The 23,727-nt window shown below is 48.3% G+C and overlaps 1 protein-coding gene across 2 annotated transcripts in view, besides 5 other annotated features; it reads right to left on the bottom strand.

Annotated features, from left to right (window-relative positions):
• The window catches only part of RPTOR (regulatory associated protein of MTOR complex 1), a 421,531-nt gene that overhangs the window by 250,711 nt on the left and 147,093 nt on the right, over nt 1–23,727 (bottom strand). For both annotated transcript variants that reach the window (NM_020761.3, NM_001163034.2), the window contains exon 4: nt 7,659–7,817. In NM_020761.3, coding sequence (NP_065812.1) covers nt 7,659–7,817 — 159 coding nt within the window. The remainder of the gene's footprint in view (nt 1–7,658; nt 7,818–23,727) is intronic.
• Nucleotides 10,544–10,663: an enhancer, noted in NCBI's record as "active region_12939". NCBI's record gives its function as "activates an Ori minimal core promoter by ATAC-STARR-seq in GM12878 lymphoblastoid cells {active_cell/tissue: GM12878}" and the evidence as "EXISTENCE:reporter gene assay evidence [ECO:0000049][PMID:35858748]".
• Nucleotides 17,015–17,309: a silencer, noted in NCBI's record as "tiled region #1160; K562 Repressive non-DNase unmatched - State 19:H4K20". NCBI's record gives its function as "represses a minimal TATA promoter and a strong SV40 promoter by Sharpr-MPRA in K562 cells {active_cell/tissue: K562}" and the evidence as "EXISTENCE:reporter gene assay evidence [ECO:0000049][PMID:27701403]".
• Nucleotides 18,404–18,931: an enhancer, noted in NCBI's record as "H3K27ac-H3K4me1 hESC enhancer chr17:78670527-78671054 (GRCh37/hg19 assembly coordinates)". NCBI's record gives its function as "activates a minimal SCP1, AML or CMV promoter by ChIP-STARR-seq in primed H9 embryonic stem cells {active_cell/tissue: H9 hESC(primed)}" and the evidence as "EXISTENCE:reporter gene assay evidence [ECO:0000049][PMID:30033119]".
• Nucleotides 20,754–21,953: an enhancer, noted in NCBI's record as "MED14-independent group 3 enhancer chr17:78667505-78668704 (GRCh37/hg19 assembly coordinates)". NCBI's record gives its function as "activates an origin of replication core promoter dependent on BRD2, BRD4, P300/CBP and CDK7 cofactors, and independent of MED14, by STARR-seq in HCT116 cells {active_cell/tissue: HCT116}" and the evidence as "EXISTENCE:reporter gene assay evidence [ECO:0000049][PMID:35650434]".
• Nucleotides 20,868–21,485: an enhancer, noted in NCBI's record as "NANOG-H3K27ac-H3K4me1 hESC enhancer chr17:78667973-78668590 (GRCh37/hg19 assembly coordinates)". NCBI's record gives its function as "activates a minimal SCP1, AML or CMV promoter by ChIP-STARR-seq in naive and primed H9 embryonic stem cells {active_cell/tissue: H9 hESC(naive and primed)}" and the evidence as "EXISTENCE:reporter gene assay evidence [ECO:0000049][PMID:30033119]".

Here is a 23,727-nt window from a genome sequence, read left to right as displayed (position 1 = left end):
CTTCTTCATGTAACCAAACACCACCTGTACCCCAATAACCTATGGAAAAATAAAAAATTGAAAAAAAAAAAACATAAAAATAAAAACATCCATTCATCTACCCACCCATGTGGTTGACAATTACCAAACACCTGCTAGGGTAACAGACACTATCTTAAGAGCTTGGAATGTAGCAGTAAACAAAATAAAAAGCCCCTGGCCTCACAGGGATTAAATGCCTGGCATGGCCTTGGAAAGAAGCCGATTGATATAGGGCTATTCAGATATTCTATTTCATTTTAGGTCAGTTTTGGTAAGTTGTATTTTAAGGCATCTGTCCATTTAATTACATATTTAAATGTATATAAAATTAATAATATTCCCTTACCTTTTTAATGCTTATAGGATATGTGGGGATATCCTCTCCTTCATTGCTGATGTTGATAAAGTGTTTTCTCTCTTTCTTCACTGATCTACCTACGTAGAGATTCGTCAACTTTTACTGATCCTTTCAAAAAAAACACATTTTAGCTATGTTGTCTCTGTTGCCTGTACTCTATTTTATTGATTTCTGCTGTTTGTTATTTCTTTCCTTCTGCTTTGAGTTTAATTTGCTCAGCATTTTCTGTTTCCTTAAGGCAGAATATTAGATTTTAGGCTGAGCACAGTAGCTCACGCCTGTAATCCCAGCACTTTGGGAGGCCAAGGTGGGAGGATCACTTGACGTCAGGGGTTTCAGACCAGCCTGGCCAACATGGCGAAACCCCATCTCTACTAAAAATACAAAAATAGCTGGGAACGGTGGTGGACGCCTGTAATCCCAGCCACTTGGGAGGCTGAGGCAGGGGAATTGCTTGAATCCAGGAGACAAAGGTTGCAGTGGGTGGTGATGGCACCACTGCACTCCAGCCTGGGCGACAGAGCGAGAGACTCCGTTTCAAAAAAACAGATTTTCATTTTAAATATATTTCTAAAATGTATCTTTCTATGTAAGAATTTAAAGCTGTACATTTCCATAAGCACTGTTACACCTAAATCCTATAAATTTGGGTGTCATAGTTTCATTATCTTTAGGTTTGAATTATTTTTTATTTTCTTTTATGATTTTGTCTTTGACTCATGTGGTATTTCATTTCCAAGTATCTGGGGCTTCTCCAGATATTCCATAATTTTGAATTTCAAGAACAGAGAATATACTCTATGATTTTAATCTTTCAAACTTTATTGAGACATCTTTATGGCTCAGCATATGGTGAACATTCCACATGCACTTGAGAATGTATATTCTACAGTTGTGTGGACGGCTGTATAAATGTTAATTAAGTCGGGGTGATTGATAATATTGCTAGGTCTTTTACATTAATACTGGCTTTTGCTTTGGACTAGAAAAAATATACTATGCCTAGAGTTTTCTCAATAAGAAAGTTTTTAATTACAGGGCCAGGCACGGTGGCTCACATCCGTAATCCCAGCACTTTAGGAGGCCGAGGCCGGCAGATCACCTGAGGTCAGGAGTTCAAGACCAGCCCAGTCAACATGGTGAAACCCCATCTCTACTAAAAATACAAAACAGTTAGCCAGGCGTGGTGGTGGGCGCCTGTAGTCCCACCTCCTTGGGAGGCTGAGGCAGGAGAATAGCTTGAACTCAGGAGGTGGAGGTTGCAGTGAGCCGAGATCACGCCACTGCACTCCAGCCTGGGCAACCAAAGCGAGACTCCATCTCAAAAAAAAATTTTTTAACTATCAATTTTGTCTATAATTTTTAACTATCAGTTTAATCTATCAATTACTAAAAGAAGATCTTCTAACCTCCAACTATGATTATGGATTTGCATACTTTTCCTGTTAATTCTGTTCATTTTGCTGCATGTCCTTTGAAACTCTGATATTAAGCGCACGCACACTCAGGATGGTGTGTGCCTGGCTCATGAACTGGCCTGTTTATCATGAGGAAATGGCCCTCTTTATCATCAATAATACTCCTCATCTTGCAGTCTATTTTCTCTGATTAATAGAGCCACACTGGTTTTCTATGACTAGTATTGGCATAGTATATCGTTTCCCTTTCTTTTACTCTCAAACTTCATATGTCTTTGTATTTAAAATACATCTACTATGGACAGCACAAGGTTTGATCATGCTTTTTTTTAATCTGGTTTGACAAAAACTTGTGAAAAAGCGAAGAAATTAAACTAGAATGTGGGACATCCTGGAGGATCACTGGTCCAAACTCGTCAAAAAGCGAACATCCACTACTAGGAAAAGAAAACAAGCAGCCACAAACTGGGTGGACATATTTGCGAAACACATATCTGATAAAGAACTGGCATCCAGGCCGGGTGTGGTGGCTCATGCCTATGATCCCAGCACTTTGGGAGGCCGAGGCAGGTGGATCACTTGAGGTCAGAAGTTGAGATCAGCCTGTACTAAAAAAAATACAAAATTAGCCGGGCGTGGAGGCGGGTGCCTGTAATCCCTGCTACTTCGGGGGTTGAGGCAGGAGAATCACTTGAACCCAGGAGGCAGAGGTTGCAGTGAGCCAAGATCACGCCATTGTACTCTAGCCTGGGCAACAAGAGCGAAACCCCATCTCAAAACAAAAACAAAAACAAAAAACTGGCATCTGAAATATGGAAAGAACTCTTAAAACTCAGCAACAAGAAAAACAACCTGATTCTTAAAATGGGCAAAAAACCTGAAGAGATACCTCATCAAAGAAGATATAACACGGCAAATAAGAACATGCAAAGACGCCCAATTTCACATCATTACGAAATTGAAAATGAAATAACAATAAGATCCTACTACATACCCACCAGAATGGCTAAAATCCAAACACTGATAACATCAAATGCTGATGAGCATGTGGAGCAACAGATACTCTCGTTCAGTGCTGGCAGGAATGCAAAACGGCGTAGACATGTTGGAAGACAGCTTCACAGTTCCTTATAAAGCTAAGCATACTCTAACCGAATCATCCACCAAACCCATTCCCAGGTATTCACCCAAATGAATGGAAAGCTTATATCCATACAAAAATTTGCACACGTTAATAATAGCTTTATTCCTAATTGTCAGAAGTTCAGAGTATCCAAAATGCCCTTGAATAGGAAAATGGATAAAGAAGCAGTGTTGCATTCACACAGTAGAGTATTGCTCAGTAATTGTAAAAAATGAGCTATCAAGCCACAAAAAGACACGGAGGAGTCTTAAGCGTATATTACTGAGTCAGAGAAGCCTGTCTGAAAAGGCTACATACTATATGAGTCCAACTATAGGACATTCTGGAAAAGACCAAATGCTAGGGGAGAGAAGATGAGGGGGCGCACAGAGGACTTGAAGGACACCACTACTCTGTGTGGCAACCTAACGGTGGTTGCAGGAAATCACACATTCAGCAAAATCTGCAGCATGTACATCACTAGGAGTGAGCCCTAGTGTAAATATGGACATCATTAATTATAACACATCATTATCAGTTTACCAATTGTAAAAAACATAACAAACCAAAGCAAGATATTAACAATAGAGGAAAATGAGGGGAAGGAAGTATATAACTCAATAAACTTGCTCAATTTTTCTGTAAAATTAAAACTGCTCTTAAAAAAAATGATGTCTATTATTTTAAAAAAGACTGCTGGGCACGGTGGCTCACGCCTGTAATCCCAGCACTTTGGGAGGCCAAGGCAGGCAGATCACTTGAGGTCAGGAGTAGGAGACCAGCCTGGCCAACATGGTGAAACCCCGTCTCTACTGAAAATACAAATATTAGCCGGGCGTGGCGGCGGGCGCCTGTAATCCCAGCTACTCAGGAGACTGAGGCAGAAGAATTGCTTGAACCCAGGAGGCGGACGCTGCAGTGAGCCAAGATCACGCCACTGTTACTCCAGCCTTGGCGACAGAGGGAGACTTAACCTCAAAAAAAAAAAAAAAAGACTGATGTATAACTATATGTTAACTTCCCAAAAGAAGACAAAATTTTTAAATTTTAAAAAGTCATTTAAAAAGTCAATGTCATAACATGAAAGGCAAGAGGAACTAAAAACGCATAAGGAACAGATGCAATGCATGGACCTTAATTAGATTCTGGGTCCACAACAAAATCAACAAGTAAAAAAATGCCTACTAATTTAGTGCACATTTTGCAAACACTTGGGAAAACACAAACATGGACTCTATAGTAAATGACACAGAACTGATGTTCCATTTCTTGAGCAATTTGACGGTAATGTGGTGATACAGAAAGCCATCCTCGTTCTTAGTGTCAGGATGTCTGCATCTTTCAAATGGTTCAGGGGACAAGAAAAAAAGTGTCAAATTGGCAACAGGGGAACAGTATAAAGGTATTCATCCTACTGTTCCTTCCATCCTCTGGAGGGTCAACAATGGTAAAAGCTGGGTCTTTGAAAAGACTGATAAAAGGTACATAAACTCCTCACAGGAATAATCAACAAGAAAAGAGAGAAGGCACATATACCCAGCACCAAGAGCAAAGGAAGGCACCTCACTCACAGATACCCCCGATACTGGTGAGTTTCTAAAGGGGTATTGTGAGCCAGTTTATGTCAACACATCGGGAAGCTTAGTAGAAATGGACAAGGTCCTGCAAAAGTCAGTTGGCAAAGCTAACAGAAAAACCCTTTAACCATGAAAGAAGCTAGATCAGTAAGTCAAAAACTCTCCACAAACAAAATACCACCCAGAGAGCTTTCTTTGTAAGTTCCACAACATTCAGACAACAAATACTTCAAACATCACAAAAACTATTCAAGTATATATACAAAGAAGGAACATTCCTCAGCTTATTTTCTAAGGCCACAGTTATTGATTACTCCGCCTAGGCAAGGACAGCAAGACAAAGAAGAATCCCTGTCCAATCTCACTCACGAACACAGATTTAATATATGAAACAAAATGGCTGCAAACTGAATAAGCCATGCATGAAACAGATCATTCATCATAACACAGGTTAATCCAAAAAGAAAGGTGTGTATAACAGGAGATGGTCATACAGTATCATTCAACGTAGCACCAGCCTAAGGGAGAAAAGTACTGTGACCACTTTAACACACACACACACACACACACACACACACACACACACACATACAAATAACCAAGGGAGGCAAATCAACATCTAGTCACAATTTTTTTAAAAAACCAAATTAAGAATTGTACTTTCTTAATTCGATAATGGTGATTGTTTTTGTTTTACAAAAAGCCTGGGGCAAACATCATACACTGAACACAGAAACTCTCCCTCTGCGAGGACAAGAGAAACAAAGATGCCTCCCTCCCCGCTCCCCACCCAGTCCCCACTTCACTCCACTGAAGGCATCGGCCAGCACACCAAGACAAGAAGGACAAATAAAAAGCACAACTGGGAGCGGGGCGCAGTGGCTCACGCTGTAATCCCAGCACTTTGGGAGGCTGAGGCAGGAGGATTATTTGGACTCAGGAGTTCAAGACCAGCCTAGGCAACATGGCAAGACCCTGGCTCTACAAAAAATACAAAAATTAGCAAAAATACAAAACTTAGCCAGGTGTGGTGGTGCACACCTGTAGTCCCACCTACTTGGGAGGCTGAGGTGGGAGGAATGCTTCAGCCCAGAAGGCAGAGTTTGCAGTGAGCCATGATCATGCCACTGTACTCCAGCCTGGGTGACAGAGAGAGACCCTGTTTCAAAAAAAAAAAAAAGTTTTGTAAGTTATCAGGAGTGTAAGAAGATGAAGAAAAAAAATCACATCATAAATTCTGAGAAGAGAGACACAATTCATAAAAATCATTACTGTCTGGAATACAAAGAATTCCCTCAAACCGATAGGAAAAGGCAACCCACTGCAGAGAGAAGTGGATAGCAGATAGGCGCTTTGAGCAGCAGGGAGCCGGCGGGCGGACACAGGGTGCGCGATCTTAATGGTTATCAGAGAAAATCAGAGCACACCACAGTCTATCATTAAAAAAAACCTGTGACAACACCCAGTGCTGGAGAGAAAGGTGGGCAGCTGAAACACTCACGCGGTTTACAGCAGAAACAAGATGGGAACCAGCCCAATGCCCATCTGCAGGGAAGGCACTGAGAAGGGCGGGGTCCCGGCAGGGGACAGCGAATGTGGGAAGAGGCAGGGCTGCAGGCCCCTGGGGTCGGTGGCATGAATCTGCAGAGCCTCCGACCAAGTGAGCAAAGCGCACTGCGGAAGAGCGCGCCAGCGTCCGCCCAGCGTATCAGCAGCGATCTCCCGGATTCGCCGTGCCTGAGAGCCAGCACACCGGGGGCTCCACAGAGGAGAGCCAGGGAAGGACAAATTCAAATTCACTGTGCCAGGCGCCACAGGGGAGGGCAGGGAAAGGAGAGACTGCAGCTGAGAAAGACACGCCAGGGGCCTGTGGTGCACGCCTGGTGGTTCATTACATCCTGCTTCTGTAAATCCTACTTCCTTCACAACGATCGTTTTGAATTTACTCAATATTTAACGAAAGGAATTAAAATCAAGCTGGTATCCAGATACACACGGGGAGAGATGGCACTGCCCTGTGCCCTGCGGGAGGAGCTGGGTGGATACCTTTCTAACTTCCGAGGCTGGCTACTCCTCAGTGTCCAGGGTCAGAAGCCTTCCTCGAGGTCTCTGCTCTGGGCCCACACTGCTTCACCACCTGTGCCGAATGCTAGCTGCGAACCCGGGACGGTAGGCGGGAACCGAGAGTTCAGTGTGTGAAGAAACGGAGTCAGAGTCCTCACTATGATGGCAGGAGGCGGTGTCCACACTAAGGAAGCAGAAGCCCAGGAGGCTGACAGCACAACCGAAACTGGGACTCGGATTTGCTGGATTCCAAATCAGTGCCCTCATAGACACGCTCAGGCACATATGGGGCCACCGCACCCTCCAAGAACTGCTTTTCATGCATCACGCAGAGCGCAGTGAGACCCATAGCTGGCTGCTCTGAGACAGACCAAGGTTCCCACCCTGGAGGATGGGGAGACAGTCAGCACCCACCACACCCTGGAGGGTGGGGACAACAGTCAGCACCCACCACACCCTGGAGGATGAGGAGACAGTCAGCACCCACCACACCCTGGAGGGTGGGGACAACAGTCAGCACCCACCACACCCTGGAGGATGGGGATGACAGTCAGCACCCACCACCCACAGCAACAGCTACAGAAGGGGAGCAAGCACTTCATCTGGTCCTGGGCAACGGAATTGCAAAAGGCTGGTGATTCTGACCTTGAGGAGGGAAGCCCAGAGCCTGCACCTGCAGGGCAGCTTGGAATTAGCCCTTTAGAATATATAAAACACTTTATTTTCTAAGAAAATCACCGATGCTTAAAGAAAGATTCTAACGAAATTGAGAAATTGTGCAATTTTTTCAAACTAGAAGGCAGACACTCTCGAGGTCTGTCCTCGGAGAATTACAAACAACTGCTGGTCTTACAGAGGGAACATAAACCACACGCACCACACTTCAAGGCAGTCATTCCATGAACACGTTCTGCCACAGAAACAGCCCCTCCTTGTGCCTGACTACCTGGTCCGTTCAGTTATGGCATTTGGGTTTGTTGAAACACAGTAAACATCAATGGCTTAACAGAAGCTACGGATGGGCAGGACCTGCTCCGACCACCGCAATTGGCATGGCTTTTGGCAGAAACGGGAAGGAAGCTGGAAGGCACACCCACCTTGTTGAAGACCCAGACCTCCCCGTTGACTGTGGGCCGGGGCACCCCGTGGCCATTGTAGTGAAAGAGGACTCGCTCCTCCTTGGCGTTGCGACGTAAGGACGTGCAGAGCTTCTTGACTTCATCCACAGTTGGGTCAAGGCTCTGCTTGTACCGGGCCTGTTGCAGGAGAAGAAATGAAGAAATTTACCACGGACTCCAGGGAATGCTTGGAACTCATCCCCTACCCTTTCCTCTGGGTTTGCAGTTAATAGCTGTGTGGTCCTGGACACATGGCTCTGAGTTTCTCCATCTATAAAACCAGGTAATGCCAGGCACCCTGGCTCATGCCGAAAATCCCAGCAGCTTAGGAGGCCAAGGTGGGAGAACTGGTTGAGCCCGGGAGCTCAAGATCAGCCTGGGCAGCAGAATGAGACCCCATCTCTACAATTAAAAAAAAAAAAAATTAGCCAGGTGTGGTGGCACACACCTGTAGTCCCAGCTGAGGTGGAAGGATCACTTAAGCCCAGGAGGTTGAGGTTGCAGTGAACCATGATCACAACACTGTACTCCAGCCTGAGTGACAGAGTGAGATGGTCTCAAAAAAACAAATCAAAACACTACATAAGAACTGCCACACATGATGGTTATAAATATTCATTCAACAAACATTGAGAACTACTAGGAACAACAATGAGATAAACAAGTAATGCCTGTCACATGGCAACACCAAGGCAAACGCAGCTGCCACTGGGGTACCAAGTGTTTCTCAGAAGTACGCGGTCCTTCTGAAAACATCTGGAGCATGGAAGAGAGAATTTGCTCAAATGAAGGAGCCTGCAATGTACACATGGCAGCAATGGCAGAAGAGTGAAGAGACCGAGTAAGGAATCGCCCTGCTGAAAGCTCCTCCCTCCGCCTCCTGCCTGGGCCCTTAACCCTGAATGAGCAGAATCTAAAACTGACAGAGAACAATCAATAGCCTTGATATACACAAATAATAAACAAAGGAACATCATGGCAAAGAAAACCCCATCTCGAAAGCCACAGAGCAGACTGAATGCATAGGAATAAGTTTAACATGAAATGTGCAAAACACAGACATGGAAGATTTTCAAAGCTCTCCTGGAAAACACAGAAGACGTGAACAAATGGGAAGATGCTCCCTGCTTGGGTGGGCTGAGTCAACATTCTTAAGATGTCAGCTCTCGCTCGTTTAATTCACATATTCAATGCATTCCCAGTAAATACCCCAAGGAGCTAAGCTGCTACTGAAGGTCACAGGGAAAAACAAACAGGGACGAAGGGCCAGAAAATCATGGCAGCAGAAAGCCCTGAGGGCAACCTGGCCTTGCCAGACACTGCAGGCTCCCCTAGGGCCTCTCATTAAGACAGCGAGGCTGGGGGCACGGAGACCAGCAGCCCAGGGAACTCACACACAAAGTCCAGAATCAGACCCAAGTACACATGACTTGGCTTGCTTGAGAACAGTGTTTACATAGTCCTAATGCTATGAATGCTGATTTTATTTTAGTAAAACTGTGCCAACTTCCAGAGAACCTGAGTGAGGAGAACGGGCCAAGGAGGAGACAGACCTGGCTGGGTGGCAGGATGCTGGAAAACGGGCACAGGTGGGTCATGCGAGGAGCTACTCCAGTTCTATCATTGCTCTTTTCCTGCAAAGTACTTTTCATGGTGAACTCCCAACAAAGAAGAACCGACAGAGTAAATCTACGACCTTCTGGGGTTGGGGAGGGGAACAACGGGTGTGAAAGTGCTGGGGCCACACCAGGCAGTCAGGGAAGATGCCCTGAGTTGATGAGTCAGTGCAAAGCAGCACCAACATATGCCACTAGAACAAATAGCTAAAAGGGTTTGCCTCTGGGTGGGGATTATGTTTTTAAAAAGTGATGTGTATGTTCATCACTTTGATAAACTTTTAAAACTTTCTTTTAAAAACAACTAAAATAAGTAAGGCCAATGCCATGATCATCACTTGAAGAAAAATGCCAGTAAGTGTTTGGAACGTGCAGGGGAGGCTGCGTTTGAAGGAAGGCCTGGGCTCCCGCTGTGCCCAGGCTGGGCACACAGATGCACACGAAGCACCTGCTGATGTGACTGAGAAAGGAAGCAGAGAGGACACACCCTGAGGAGGGCACACCATTCATGCTTAAGAAAGGTTCCCCTGCCGGACACGGGGGCTCACACCTGGAATCCCAGCATTTCGGAGGCCACGGTGGAAGGACCACTTGAGGCCAGGAGTTCAAGACCAGCCTGGGCAACATAGTCAGATCCCTCGTCTCTACTGAAAAATAAAAATAAAGAAAATAAAGAAAGGTTCCCTGGCATTTCCAGAGAAAAAGAATTAGATGTGAGGAAAACAACAGGAAAACGAGGCCCAATTCCTGCAACACGGTTACTCTGTTGTATATGATACACATTTGGTTTCACCTAATTATATACATTAAAACTCTAATTTATGACAACATAAAACCTCTTGGTATTCTAGACCTTGTACTTTGGAAGTCATCAGTAGATGTATGAATATCTTTCAGATGAGGAGATTTAAGAGTTTTTCCAGGTTCCCCCAAATTTTTGTACCTGCAAGCAAAGCCCATTAGAGAACCAAAAGCTAATCCAAGGCTAGCAACCCTGTGCCACTGCAGGACAGTGCGGAGCCCTGGTCTGAGGCGGGGTTAGAGCCACAGAGTGGTCTCCCCTCTCAGTGTCTCCTCGCTCAGAACCAGAATGCTGCTCGAAAAATAAAGCAGAGTCACGAAGGAGACTTGAGAGAGAGCTAACCAACTGATAACGCGGGATCTTCAAGTCCATTTTCATCTATGAAGGATGTGCGTTGACACGCACAGGGGGCTCTGCCAGGACAGGGCTGGCCCACAGGGAGCCCAGGGCCACAGGGAAGGAGGAAGTGCTCAGAGAAGCACGGAGCGTGACAGGAGGGGTGTCGATGCGTGGCCTGGGAGGCAGCGTGTCACCTGCTCCCATAGGTGGGCATCACTGGCCCATGGGGGACCCCAGCCATGCGGTGGCCAATCTGACCCACATGTTCTGGAGGAGCCTGTTCAATGCCCAGCTCTCCTACAAAATTCCTTCTTGAACCCTTTCAGCAGGAAATAATTTTTTCTTTCTCTGAATTAACTTACACTGCTCACTATACATTCATGTGCAGCTATCTCAATTCTGTGTAGACGGTAAATTCTGTGGTGGTAAACACTGCTCACCCACATGTGTGCCTTTCTGTTCAAAATACAAGTTTTATATCCTTTCCCCAGCATTACAACACACTCAGTTACCAGCAACTAATTGCTGAGTCATACTCAGATTTTTACTGACAGTAATTACAATAATTATTAAAGAAACAAATCAATTTGTAGTAAAGAAACTGATAGAATCCTGCCTGAGGTTGAAGTGGTGTAAGTCACTGTCAACATAATATCAGAAAGTATGTGTGTACAAACAGCTGCATCCAGGTGCTGGGTACCCAAGGCGTCTGTGACATCATCCTTTCTGCTTTGCTATCTGAGATTCTCTGCATACTAAGACTTACGAAAATGATGGACACATTCTGGATTCATCACTGATGTGATGGATTCATCAACTGTTTATTTGTGTTCTTGGTGAGACAGAACCAGGCCACTGAGTCTTAATGTTCTAAATACCTGAATGTTGGCTGATCCCATACAACACACCAAGGGCAGCTGATAAATGAAAGCGCAGTTCTGGGGGCAAAGAAGGAAACATTTTATTCAGCTGTCACGACCTTGGCTACAGGCCCTCCAAAACCACATCCACTCAAGTAAGTACATTCTAAATTAGAAAATAAGTCTGAAGTAGAGGTAGCTAGACATTCCGTCTTCAGGTGGATAGGTAGAAAGAATGGCGGACACGTAGGACGGGTTCAGTCTGGAGAGATGGCTTCAAATCAGCGCAGCAGCAACAGCCCCATCTCGCCCATGTCTCTCCACACCCAACAAAAAAGCACCAAGTCCTGGAGAGGACCTAGTTCACCTGCTCCTTCAAACCAAACGCATCAGCTATAAGACCTGCATAAACATGAAATTTAGGTTTTTCTCTGAATCAGAGGCGTGATAATGGCCAGTCTAAGCAGCAGGCCACATCCCATTTTGGTCTGGGCCGTTATGTAAATTAAAACAAATACCTATGCATTTTTAATGAAAGTGCTTTTTAAAAAGTGTCCTGGCTAACTTGGTAGAAACAATTAGAGGTTTTCCAAGAAAGCGTTAGCCCAGCTCCAGGCCCCAGGGCAGAGGTGCAGCCATCACCGAGGCTCCTCCGGCAGTACTGGGGCCCTGGGAAGGAGGGTCTATGCATTTTCCTACCTCCAGGGATGCTTTAAGACAGCTCAAGTAGGGAAGAGCAAAAATGGAGAGGTAGGACTCAAAAAAAACTTTTTTTTTAATGGATGCTAAAGGATATCTCCTTGATCCTCCTGGGTCTCACACACAAGGCGGAATGGGTGTTCCTGGCTCAAGTCTGCAGTCAGGCCAGGGGAAGTGAGCCACCTGAGCTCACGTTTATCAGGAACGTCCACTGAAGCTAACTTCCCACCCCTTCTCCAGGGTCTAGGGTCCAGGTGGGGTGAGCGCCTGCCAGCCTCTTTTCATGCACATTAAAACCACTTCCCCTTAGTGAACACAGGATATGTTTTTCAGAGTCAGAAAGACTTCCGGAGTCATGGGCTGCAGATACAGGTGAGAAAAGAACACATGCAGAGCTTGCCAGACGGCGAGGCAATCAGAAGGAAGGAAAAAGCGCTGTCAACTAAACTCGAGATTTCGGAGTCTAATTCCACAGATCCACCCTGCTTTCTGGTTGCTAAGGCTACAGAAATCCCCCATGCATAGTGGTGAAGAACAAAGGCACGGAAAGATAAGGCACCCCAAAATAAGAACAAGCCACGGTGCTGATCTCCACATCTGTCTCCCTGGAGCACGGGCCCATCGATCTGCAGGGGCTGGGTTCACTGCAGGGCCCACAGATCGCTGGGAGATTTTCTAGTGAAATTGTCAAGTGCCTCCTGCTCCATCTCACTTATTACATTACTGCTGCGGCAGTTTTTCTCAATTCTACTCTCCTCAACACAGCTATCGAACTAGGATTGCTGAAGTCACAGCTCCACAGGAAAATCATTCGCTGTCTCCTGAGATTGCTCCTGAACAGGAGTGCTGTTCTTCCACGCCACACAGAAGGCCACGGGGTAGATTATTCAGGGACACCAATAAAATTAAGGATTCATCATTTCTGACCCTGGCTCTGTGAAGGTCTTATCCCATGGGGCTGCGAAAAACGGATTTAGCTTCATTTTCTTACCTATTGCGTAGAGAAGGCACATTAATGGACTAGCATGAAAGGCGCCACAGATATTAATAATACGCCTCCTGGGGCTTCATGGGAATTAATTAATATTTTTAAGGGCTTTGAAATGAGAAACACTAAATTAAATGTCACCACATTGTGTTAAGGTTTTGTCTCACAACTAGAATGCCAGGGATAATAGCTGTGTGGTCTGAGAGACAGGAGAGGCACGGGAGCATCTGATCATCCGGGGGAGTTACGACAATTTCTGCTGGACATATAAAATGACAAAGCAAGTCTCTAAACTACAGCCTATTGTGCTAGGCATTTTTCCTGAAATGCCAAATCTCAAGGTGCAAGAAAATATATGCACAGGAGTTTTGGAGGATGTGACAGCAGAAGATAATAAAAGAATGAATAACCGAAGAAAAGAAAACAAAACAAAAAACAAAACAAAACAAAAATGGGCCCTTGGTTTAATGAAGGAAAATGCAGCTCCAAATTTCATTTCCTTCTCAGTGACGGGCTCTTGTCCTAAAATGACACCTGGTAAATTTATATGCTAATAAGGCCTAAGAAATGCTACTGCAATCAGATTCTGCATTTTCCACGTAGACTTTTATTGGTATTGGAGCTCCTTCTCATACAAGTGCAGACTTCAGACCCTGGAGAGCCCTGAGCATGGGAGGGACTCTGCTCCCAGTGGCCCTCGTGGCGGCATGGTCCCGCTAGAAGCTCTGGTGAAGCTGCACAAACTGCCGCTGGTGTGGATCAAGGAGAGACGGCCACCTGGGAAGAGGAGGGGCTCAGGGGCTCTACTTGGTGGGTCTTCCCCTTTGACAAAATCCCACCAGGGGTAGCCCTGTGCCGCTGGGGCAGGCTGGACATAGACATCTGTAGAGTTTCTAACAAAGACACTGGCGTCGTACTAGGCTGGGTCTGTGAGTACAAGTGATATCGCTGCCATCCTCCCATCCTATAGCAATGAATAGCAGGTCAAGTTTAGATCCAACAAACCGAAATGCCTGCAACACTCTCAGAACTGTCCTGGAGGAACAAATGTCATTTCAGGACTCAGGCCAGTTCTGGCCCCATCTGGGGTCTAGTGAAAGTTTCACCCTACCCCTCTCCTTCTCAAGTAGGATGCAAAGATTTCCAGGGAAATGTTGGTAGGAGGGACCTTTAGGCGGACCTGACCTTCTTCCCTGCCCGGCATTTCCCTGGAAGGCCTCGCCTCCTATAGCCCTTGTTTACCCTCACCCTTAAGGGTGTTAGGATGAAAAACAAGTAAAATACAGAGAAACAAAACAAAAGCCAAAAAGAGTGATGGCAAATGCTACCTTTCGGTTGATATGGAATGAGCATTATGGTCTCCGTGAGAATAAATGGCAAGAATATATAACCTGTGCCCTTTCCCATGATTCCACCCTAGTGCAACCAGGTGGAGCCGCTGAGGACACAGAGACTTCACAGCATTTGTTCCCAGATGTGAAGCAATCCATCAGTGTGTCTGAGGCCTTTCAGCAGAGAGGAATTGTCCAGTGCACATCTTCTGTGTCTTCCCTCCTAAGCTTGCTCCCCTCTCTCCTCAATCCATATGGATGGGGTCACTAACCATTTGGACAACAGAAACCTGAGAATCACCCAGCTGGACAACAGAAACCCAAGAATCACCCTTGACACCTTCTTGTCTTTCACCCTTTCCATTTTTATGTCATCAATCATTGCATCCTGTTGAGTCTACCTCTTCAATCCTGACTGAGTCCATCCACCTCTTTCTATCCGTGCTATCAATACCCAGGTCAAGCCACTACCAAACCACCACTACCACCACCATCATCTCTACCATCACCACCACCACCACCATCACCATCACCACCATCATCATCACCACCACCACCATCATCATCTCTACCATCACCATCACCATCATCACCACCACCACCACCACCATCATCACCACCACCACCACCACCATCACCACCACCATCACCATCACCACCACCTCCATCATCACCATCACCATCATCTCTACCATCACCACCACCATCATCGCCGCCACCACCACCACCATCACCATCATCACCATCACCACCACTTCCATCATCACCATCACCATCATCTCTACCATCACCACCACCATCATCATCACCACCACCACCACCACCATCACCATCACCATCATCTCTACCATCACCACCACCATCATCACCACCACCACCACCACCACCATCACCACCACCACCATCATAACCACCACCATCACCATCACCACCACCACCATCACCACCACTACCACCATCACCACCACCACTTATCTATTTCTTAGATCATTGGAGTAACTTCCCAACTTATCCTCCAGCCTTGTTTCACTCCAAATCCATTCTCCAAAACTCAATAGGTCCTTCTCCCGCTTAGAAACCTTTGATGTCTTCCCACTAACTTTGAAAACTCTTTAGAAAGACCTACGAGTCCCTGCAAGATCTCCAGCCTGATCACTAGACATAATCTCTGAGAGTCTACACTTCAGCCACAAGAAAGGATCTTTTAAGCCTTTTGCCTCATTATGTTCTAACCTACTTTCCAGCCTTCTGCCCAGAACCTTCTTCCTACCTTTTCTCCATGTCCTATTCCAAGTCTTGCCTGGTCATTTTCTATTCATTCTTCAAGTATCATGTTAAATGTCCCTTGTCTTTTATCATGTTGAAAGCATCCTTCTTGGATGCTCTTCCAGACACTGGATAGGAAGCCATGCCAAAGGCTGCATAGCACCTCTAGCTCCCCATCACTGCACCAGGGTACTGTGCGTAGCACCTCTAGCTCCCCATCACTGTACCAGGGTACCGTGCACAGCACCTCTAGCTCCCCATCACTGCACCAGGGTACCGTGCACAGCACCTCTTGCTCCCCATCACTGCACCAGGGCACCGTGCACAGCACCTCTAGCTCCCCATCACTGCACCAGGGCACCGTGCACAGCACCTCTAGCTCCCCATCACTGCACCAGGGCACCGTGCACAGCACCTCTAGCTCCCCATCACTGCACCAGGGTACCGTGCACAGCACCTCTAGCTCCCCATCACTGCACCAGGGTACTGTGCACAGCACCTCTAGCTCCCCATCACTGCACCAGGGCACCGTGCACAGCACCTCTAGCTCCCCATCACTGCACCAGGGTACCGTGCACAGCACCTCTAGCTCCCCATCACTGCACCAGGGTACCGTGCATAGCACCTCTTGCTCCCCATCACTGCACCAGGGCACTGTGCATAGCACCTCTAGCTCCCCATCACTGCACCAGGGTACTGTGCATAGCACCTCTAGCTCCCCATCACTGCACCAGGGTACTGTGCACAGCACCTCTAGCTCCCCATCACTGCACCAGGGTACTGGACTCTACCTGCTGATTTACTCATCAGCCTTCACAGTTGACATTAAATAAATATTTGTGCACATACAAATGATGAATAAATACTTCCTATTGGAGTTTACACAGCCCGATGAGCTTCTCCAGAGAAAGCTGTTTTATCAAGAGCTTGGGGTCTCTATTTTTATTTTGAGGGCATTTTAAACAATTCCATTTTGATGGGTTGGAGTACAGCAGTGAAGCAAGGCTTTTGCTCCAACACCCACTTTCCTTAGCAGACAATCTAACTGCCCAGACAAAGGGATCTGCTGCTCCATGCACATAAGCTCGAGGCAGATGCTGGGGGAATCACGGGCGCCTGAACATCCAGGAAGCACCCAGGGTAACCTAGCAATCAGACACAAGCTGGCGCTTCCTGGCCAGCAGGCTCGCCTGGGTTTCCCCAGGAATTGGATGGGCACTACCCCCTGAAGAGCTGCACCACTAGTCAGGTGAGGGCCGGGACAGCCTTCCATGAGCAAGACAGAAGGAAAAGGACTGACTTGGTGACTGGCAGAACAGGCTTGTCTTTCACGGATTATACCTGCATGAATGGTAATAAAAGACATTTCCTTTGTTCCAGATAAGGCTATGGAGAAGCAGCGGCACATTTGTCTATAGAAATCTTTCCAAACATAAAGATTAAGGAGAAAAGAACAAAAGGGAGGATGTTAAACGGTGACGAGGCTGAGGAGGTTGACCAGCTGCCGGCCTAGGATGGAAGGTGCCCCCACGTAACTCCAGCTCTTTCCACTTCCCGCTTTGTTTCCTTTGGCTGGAGGACAATGTGGATCAATGGCTGGAATGGCCCCCGGGGAGCAGGCCATGACCACATGCTGGTGACAACGGTGCAGAAACCTCTGCAAACGAGGAGCTGGTGTCTTTCTTTGCTCCGTCCCGTCACTTTTCACGCTATCCTCCACGTGGTTGCTGTACCTAGATGGCTCCCACAGGAGTCAGTGAGGCCTGGGTGGGGGTGGGGCGGCAGCCCCTCTGCATGGGGCCCAGTGCCTGGTGCGCCCGCACTGGCCTCACGTGGCTCCCCTGCTCACTCGGCCTACCTGGCCTGTCACCTCTGCCTCTGGCCCATCCTCCTCTGTGGACCCTCAGTCGCCTCCGTTCCTCACCCTCCTACTTTCACAACACCGTTTCCCCATAGGGCACCTTCAAGAGAAATCTGGTCAAATTCCCCACCTTGCCCCGCACCCACCCGTCTGGGATCCTTGTCTACTCGCTGGCCCCACCAAATCAGCCAGCAGAAACTCAACCACCAAACTCTGCCAGCAGAAACCTCACCACTACCCTCAGCTCCTGCTCCTGCCATCTCCCTGGTGCCCAGTGGGTCACAGGAATGTGTCCCTCTGACTTCGCTGTACCACCTCTGCCTTCATGGGAGTCAAACACCCCAACCACCTTCAGGCCTCCAAAATGACCCCTCTCCAAGTCCCCCCATTCTGTCAGAGCCTTCCTCCTTAACGCACAGCAGTCAGGCCACCGGCCCCTGAGACAAACCCTCTGTGGGTGGGTCAACAGGCTCCCTGCCCAGCACCACCTGCGAGCCCTCTGCTCAGCCCAGTGTCCTCACCACGTTCCCACCGTGGCTAATCTCTCATGACTCCATGCCTCTGCACAAGGTGGCTCCTTGGCCCAGACGTTCCCAAGTCCCTGACGTGGCTGTGCACGGTGCCACCTGCACCTATCACGCCGCCACCTGCACCTATCACGCCGCCCTCCTCCTCCCTTACAAGGTCCTCACCAGCTCCCTGGGGCTCACAAGGTGCTTCTGATACCGATGGGAGGTAGTCAAATGCCTAGGCAGACAGGGGCAGGTCCCTGGTGAAACCTACCTCCAAGCCAAATAACAGCCTGAAGGCTGAAAGACCAGACGGCAGGTCCTGGATAAAACCCAAGACCCAGAGCAAAACTCCTATTCCCGTTTGCCCACCCTTTCCCAATTGATTCTTTCTGAATAATGCCTTTTAACCAATCAAATGTTGCCTTTTCCAATACTACCTACAGCCTGCCCCTCCCCTATTCTGAGCCCACAAAAGCCCCAGACTAAGACACACTGGAGGGATTTTCCCACCTTCGGGTGGGGGGACCGCCCCCATGTCCCCTCTCTGCAGAAAGCTCTTTCATCACTCAGTAAAACCCCTCACCTTGCTCACTCTCTGACTGTAGGCACATCTGCATTCTGCTTGGATGCTGGACAAGAGCTCAGGACCCACCAAGTGCTGGTACCAGAAAGACTGTCACACTAGCCCTTTGCTCCTGCTGGCAGAGGGCAGCCACCCTACGTGATGGGGCCAGGGGGCGACGGAGCTGCTAACATGCCACCATCTGTTGGACTGTGGATGGAAGAACTAAAAGAGCTAATGAGCACACTAACACCCACTCTGGGGCTTCAGGGTCATGGGCACCCTTGCCTGGGTGCCACCGTGTTCCCCTCAAGGTGACACACCTGGTCTGGCTGTGGGCCCCGCATGGAGTTTGCTCCTGTATTGGTGCTTGGGGGGGCTGGCTGGATCCCACACTCGCTCACTCACGTGCTCCCGCCTGCAAACGGCTGAGTTCGGCGGCATCCCTGCTGCAAGTCCAGCAAAGAGGCCAAGAGAAAATTCCTGTGTCCCTTCTGCGCCCACTGCAGAGATCCAGGCTCTGACGCACCAGCCGGCCTTGCCCCGGGAGGCCATGGCCACTAAGAAGAGGCCTCTCAGGTCCCAGTCAGCCCCTTGCTTCTGGGCACAGAGTCGTCACCCAAGAAAAGGCTGTGGAATGAATCTACATGGGAATTCTGCTTACTTGGATTAATATGCTGCTCGCTTTGAACTAACGAAAGCCGAGCTCCACTATCCCAGTATCATTTTTTTTGTCCCAACATGGACCTCAGAGTTAAATTTTTATTGGGAAAGATGTAGGGCAAGAGGCTGTGCAGTACAAATTCTGTCCCACTCTATTTGCATATTTTATTTGCTCTTTAAATGTTTTCAATATTTCATAATAAGATGCCATTCTGTGTAATCTTTTCCTGATGCTATCACTGTAAGGCTGGTTTCCTCCCCCTCCAAAATCTCTTAATGAAAAAACAAAACAAAACAAAGCTGCCACTTATCTTGTCTGTTTAAATGGAACCCTGAGTCTTTGAAATTTAAAAGGGAGAGGAAGCCTGAACTCCAGGCTGCAGCCCTGCCGGAAAAATCTATCCTGCCCTACAGGGACTCACAAGAACAAGGCCAGTCGCCAGATGCCACCTTGGCTCTGAGAGTCGCACACTCAGAAACAGCAGAGACACGGCCAATTTCCATCTAAGATGTAACCAGCATCCTCTGCAAACTCTTCACAGAAAGATGGGTCCGGGGTAGATCAAAGCCAGCTCACGCAGGTAGAAAAGGCAGCCACGAGGCCATGCAGGGCAAAAGTGGTCTGCGGCCCTTGGCCCACCAGCTCCAGCCACCCCCAACGCTCCTCCCTGGCCTTGGTGCCTCTGCATCCTGAGCTCCTGTCACTCTGTAAAGATGGGCCTCAAGCGACTTGTTTTTCAGAAATAAAAGAGGTGACCTTTGGAAGAAGTCTATAAATACAAAAGTCACACCACTCCACTGGCTCCTTCTCACGATTATTCTGGAATTCGGGGTAACGTGCAGAGACTAGGAAGCCCAAGGTCATCCTGCTTTGTTTCCTGTAAAACAGCTGCTTGGGAAGACGCTGGCTCTGGGTGGCTGGCAGGCATCCCCAGGCACTCTCGCAGTGGAGGTGAGCTGGAGAGAAGTGACGCAGGTGAGCCCACACGTGAGCCACCCACCTGCCCCTCTGTAACAGAGGCCACTGTTACAGGGAGAGAGCACAGGTCCCGCCCAGAGATGGGAAACTTAAGTCTCAGCCCCAAATCAATGATTCACCAGCCATTCGACCTGGCAACGTCATGAACAAAACCAAACCTCAATTTTCTCCTCCACAAACAACTAAACTAACGCGGGCCCTGCCCGGGTGGCTGATGTGAAAGTCTCGTGTGGAAATGCTCGGGCCCCCGTGGCAGACAATGTGGGGGTGAGTGACCCGCACAGCACGGGTCGGGGCAGCCTCTGTCTTGGGCACATGCATTCTACCCGCCTCACTCTTACCACCATGCAGTGGGCACTGCCATCGCTCCTGCCTCACAAACAGGAGGCTGGGCACAGAGAGGTTCAGTAACCCTCACGGGGCCACACAGCCAGCCCCGCACAGGCCCATGTCAAAGCCAGGCAGCCCAGCTCAGCCCCCAGGCTTCCTGCTCACTACCCTGATGACACCCACGGAGGCCCAGAGGCTTCTGGGGAGCACCCTCACCCTCCTTGGATATAGCTGCCCGTGGCACTGTGTCTGCCCGTGGTGCTGAGTCTCTGGCACACACTAACAGGCCATGAGTTACTCAACCCCTTCCCCTCGAGAAGGCCAACATGCCCATGAGTGCCAGAGAGGCTGTCTTCAAGAGGCAGTGAAGCCAGGAACCGCCAGAATGGGGTGGATGGAGGCAGGAGCTCACGACAACCTGATCACTCAGTGCTGCTGATTTCCCAGCAACTCCGACCAATACCACATCTCCTCGGGAAAATCACTCCTCCTTACTTAAGTGCGGAGCTACCACCAGCCGTGATCAACAGCTGCAGGTTCCCAGACACTCCATATGTGCACGCCTGCCTGGCAGGCAGAGAACTGGGAACCTGATGCTGGATGGAAGGAAGGGGCGCAGGGAGGCTCCACCCTGGTCACCAGAACCAACACATTCACGGGAAAGGAGGCACTCAACGCACAAGCCTTCAGCACCACGGCCCCACATATGGAAGACACTCTCACTCCACTGAGAGATTGTGCGACTGTGGAGGCCGACCAACGCAATGCACAGAACAAACATCTACCATGCGCCTCACCTGGGTGGGAAATCAGTATTTATTCAACGGTTGCCAGACCAGGCCAGCAAAGCCATCTGCGAGGGCCATGCCCGGGCATGCCTGCCCCTGGGACCAGGCTTGAAGAGGTCACCTGGAGAGGTCACCAGCTGTGTCAGGGATTCGTGAGCACGGGGCAACTGCCTCGACCTGTCGCCTCCCCACCCACTCTGAATGAAGCCCCAGATGAGGCACCTGAGGCTGCAGCAGTGGCAAACAAAAGCTGAGATGTCAGAGCCGCCTGTATTTGCTCTACAGCTGTAAACGCAAATCTTCAGCTCGCATTCTTGACAGCGCTCTTTACTTTCTGAAGAAATTTCTAATTTCTTGTCAGATTTCATTTCAAGTTCACAATGTCCCTCTCCGTTCAGACCAAGCCCGTTTCTGCGCAGAGCATCGGCCGCCAGGAGCAAGAGGATGTGAGCTGCTGGCTGCGTGGACGCTCCGGACCATGCCGGGCTCTCCAGACATTCCCCAGCCTCTTGCTGGGTGTTTCAGGGACCCTGTTCCAGGCCCGTGCCCACCTGATCCACAGTCTGTTTTCCAGGTCACTATCTGAGTCAGCTCTCTGGCCCCTGGCAAAACGCTGTTTCCCACAGCACCATCTGGACGCCCACCCTGCGTGGAAGGGGGTGGCTGACCCTACAGCACCCAGGGCTGGCATAAGTCTGCCAGAGTCTGGGCTGGCAGATGCTGAGAGTAGGAAATTGCGTACACCGAACCCAAAGGGACTACAAGGTCACAGTAACTCGTAATGTTCTCAACACGTGTCTGCCCAGTAAGGGCAGAGTTACGTGAAATTTGTAAAATCATCGACTCTTTCCTTTATGTATTATTCAGTAACAATTCTTCCTTCCTTCCTTAATTTGCAGAAGAGGCAGACAAGAACTAGAATAGCTGGTTTATTATTCAAAGTCCAAAAAGAAAAGCTATTGCTTCCAGATGGGGCCAAATCCACTTCTGAAATGGGTGCTCAGAATCCCCCCAATGAACCCGAGAAACACCATCTCCGCTGGGAGCAACTCTGCCCTCGGGGGCACTGGTGTTGTCTGCAGACAGGCTCGGTCGGCACTGCTGGGAGAAGTGGGCCCTGCTGGCATCTGATGGCAATGGCCTGGGGACCTGCTACACATCCTGTGACTGTCCGCACAGCACATGAGCACACGACCACCACAATCATGAATTAGCTGATCCAAATGCCAATCGGGCCAAGCTGGAGAAACTCTGCTTTAGAGGAAACAATGAAGCTTTGATTCCAATGAGGACACGTGGATTCCAGTCTAATACAGCAACAAGAAGCAAGGTAGAAGAAACCATGTACAACATACAGCACTTCCCTAAAGAGAAAACACTGTGTGCGTGTGTGCGTATATAAATGTACCCAAGGTTACGCATACGTGTCATCACATGTGGTACACATATTATTAAAACATTTCAGTGGTGACCTACAGAAGAAAAGATAAAATAGGCTCACCAGGACAGGAAGAGCAGCCAGGCTCCTTTCAATAAACTTCATTTTGTGTATTTAACTTTGGACTCATGAAATATTTTACATAACTACAAAGCAAAATTAATTTTTTTAAAAAGTAATCCAGCCAGGCACAGTGGCTCATGCCTATAATCCTAACACTTTGGGAGGCTGAGGCAGGAGGATCACTTGAGGCCAGGAGTTCAAGACCAGCCTGGGCAACATAGGAAGACTTCATCACTACTAAAAATATAAATAAATAAATTAGGCCAGGCACGGTGGCTCACGCCTGTAATCCTAGCACTTTGGGAGGCCAAGGCAGGTGGATCACCTGAGGTCAGGAGTTCAAGACCAGCCTGACCAACATGGAGAAACCCCATCTCTACTGAAAATACAAAATTAGCTGGGCATGGTGGCATGTGCCTGTAATCCCAGCTACTTGGGAGGCTGAGGCAGGAGAATCGCTTGAACCTGGGAGGTGGAGGTTGCGGTGAGCCGAGATCATGCCACTGCGCTCCAGCCTGGATAACAGAGTAAGACTCCATCTCAAAAAAATAACATAACATAACATAACATAACATAACATAACATAACATAACATAACATAACGTAGCCAGACATGGTGGCGTGCACCTATAGTCTTGGCTACTTGAGAGGCTGAGGTGGGAGGATGGCTTGAGCCCAGGAGGTTGAGGCTGCAGTGAACTATGATTCTGCTACTGTACTCCAGCCTGGGCCACAGTGAGAGCCTGTCTCAAAAATAAATAAATAAAAATACAGGGTAATGTCACTCGACATCTGTGCCTAACCTGAGAAGGAAGGGCGAGTGCCTCAGCAGCGGCTATGCCTCGGCAGCGGCTCTCAGTAACCGCGTCAGTGGCAGTGCTGGTGTTGCTTTCTGAAACTGCCAGGTGTGGTGCAGGATAAGAGAATGGGTAATTACGTTGGTGTTCATGA

This window comes from Homo sapiens, chromosome 17, assembly GCF_000001405.40.
Source record: "Homo sapiens chromosome 17, GRCh38.p14 Primary Assembly".
Classification (NCBI taxonomy): Eukaryota; Metazoa; Chordata; class Mammalia; order Primates; family Hominidae; genus Homo; species Homo sapiens.
This window is presented reverse-complemented; position numbering and strand designations above follow the sequence as displayed.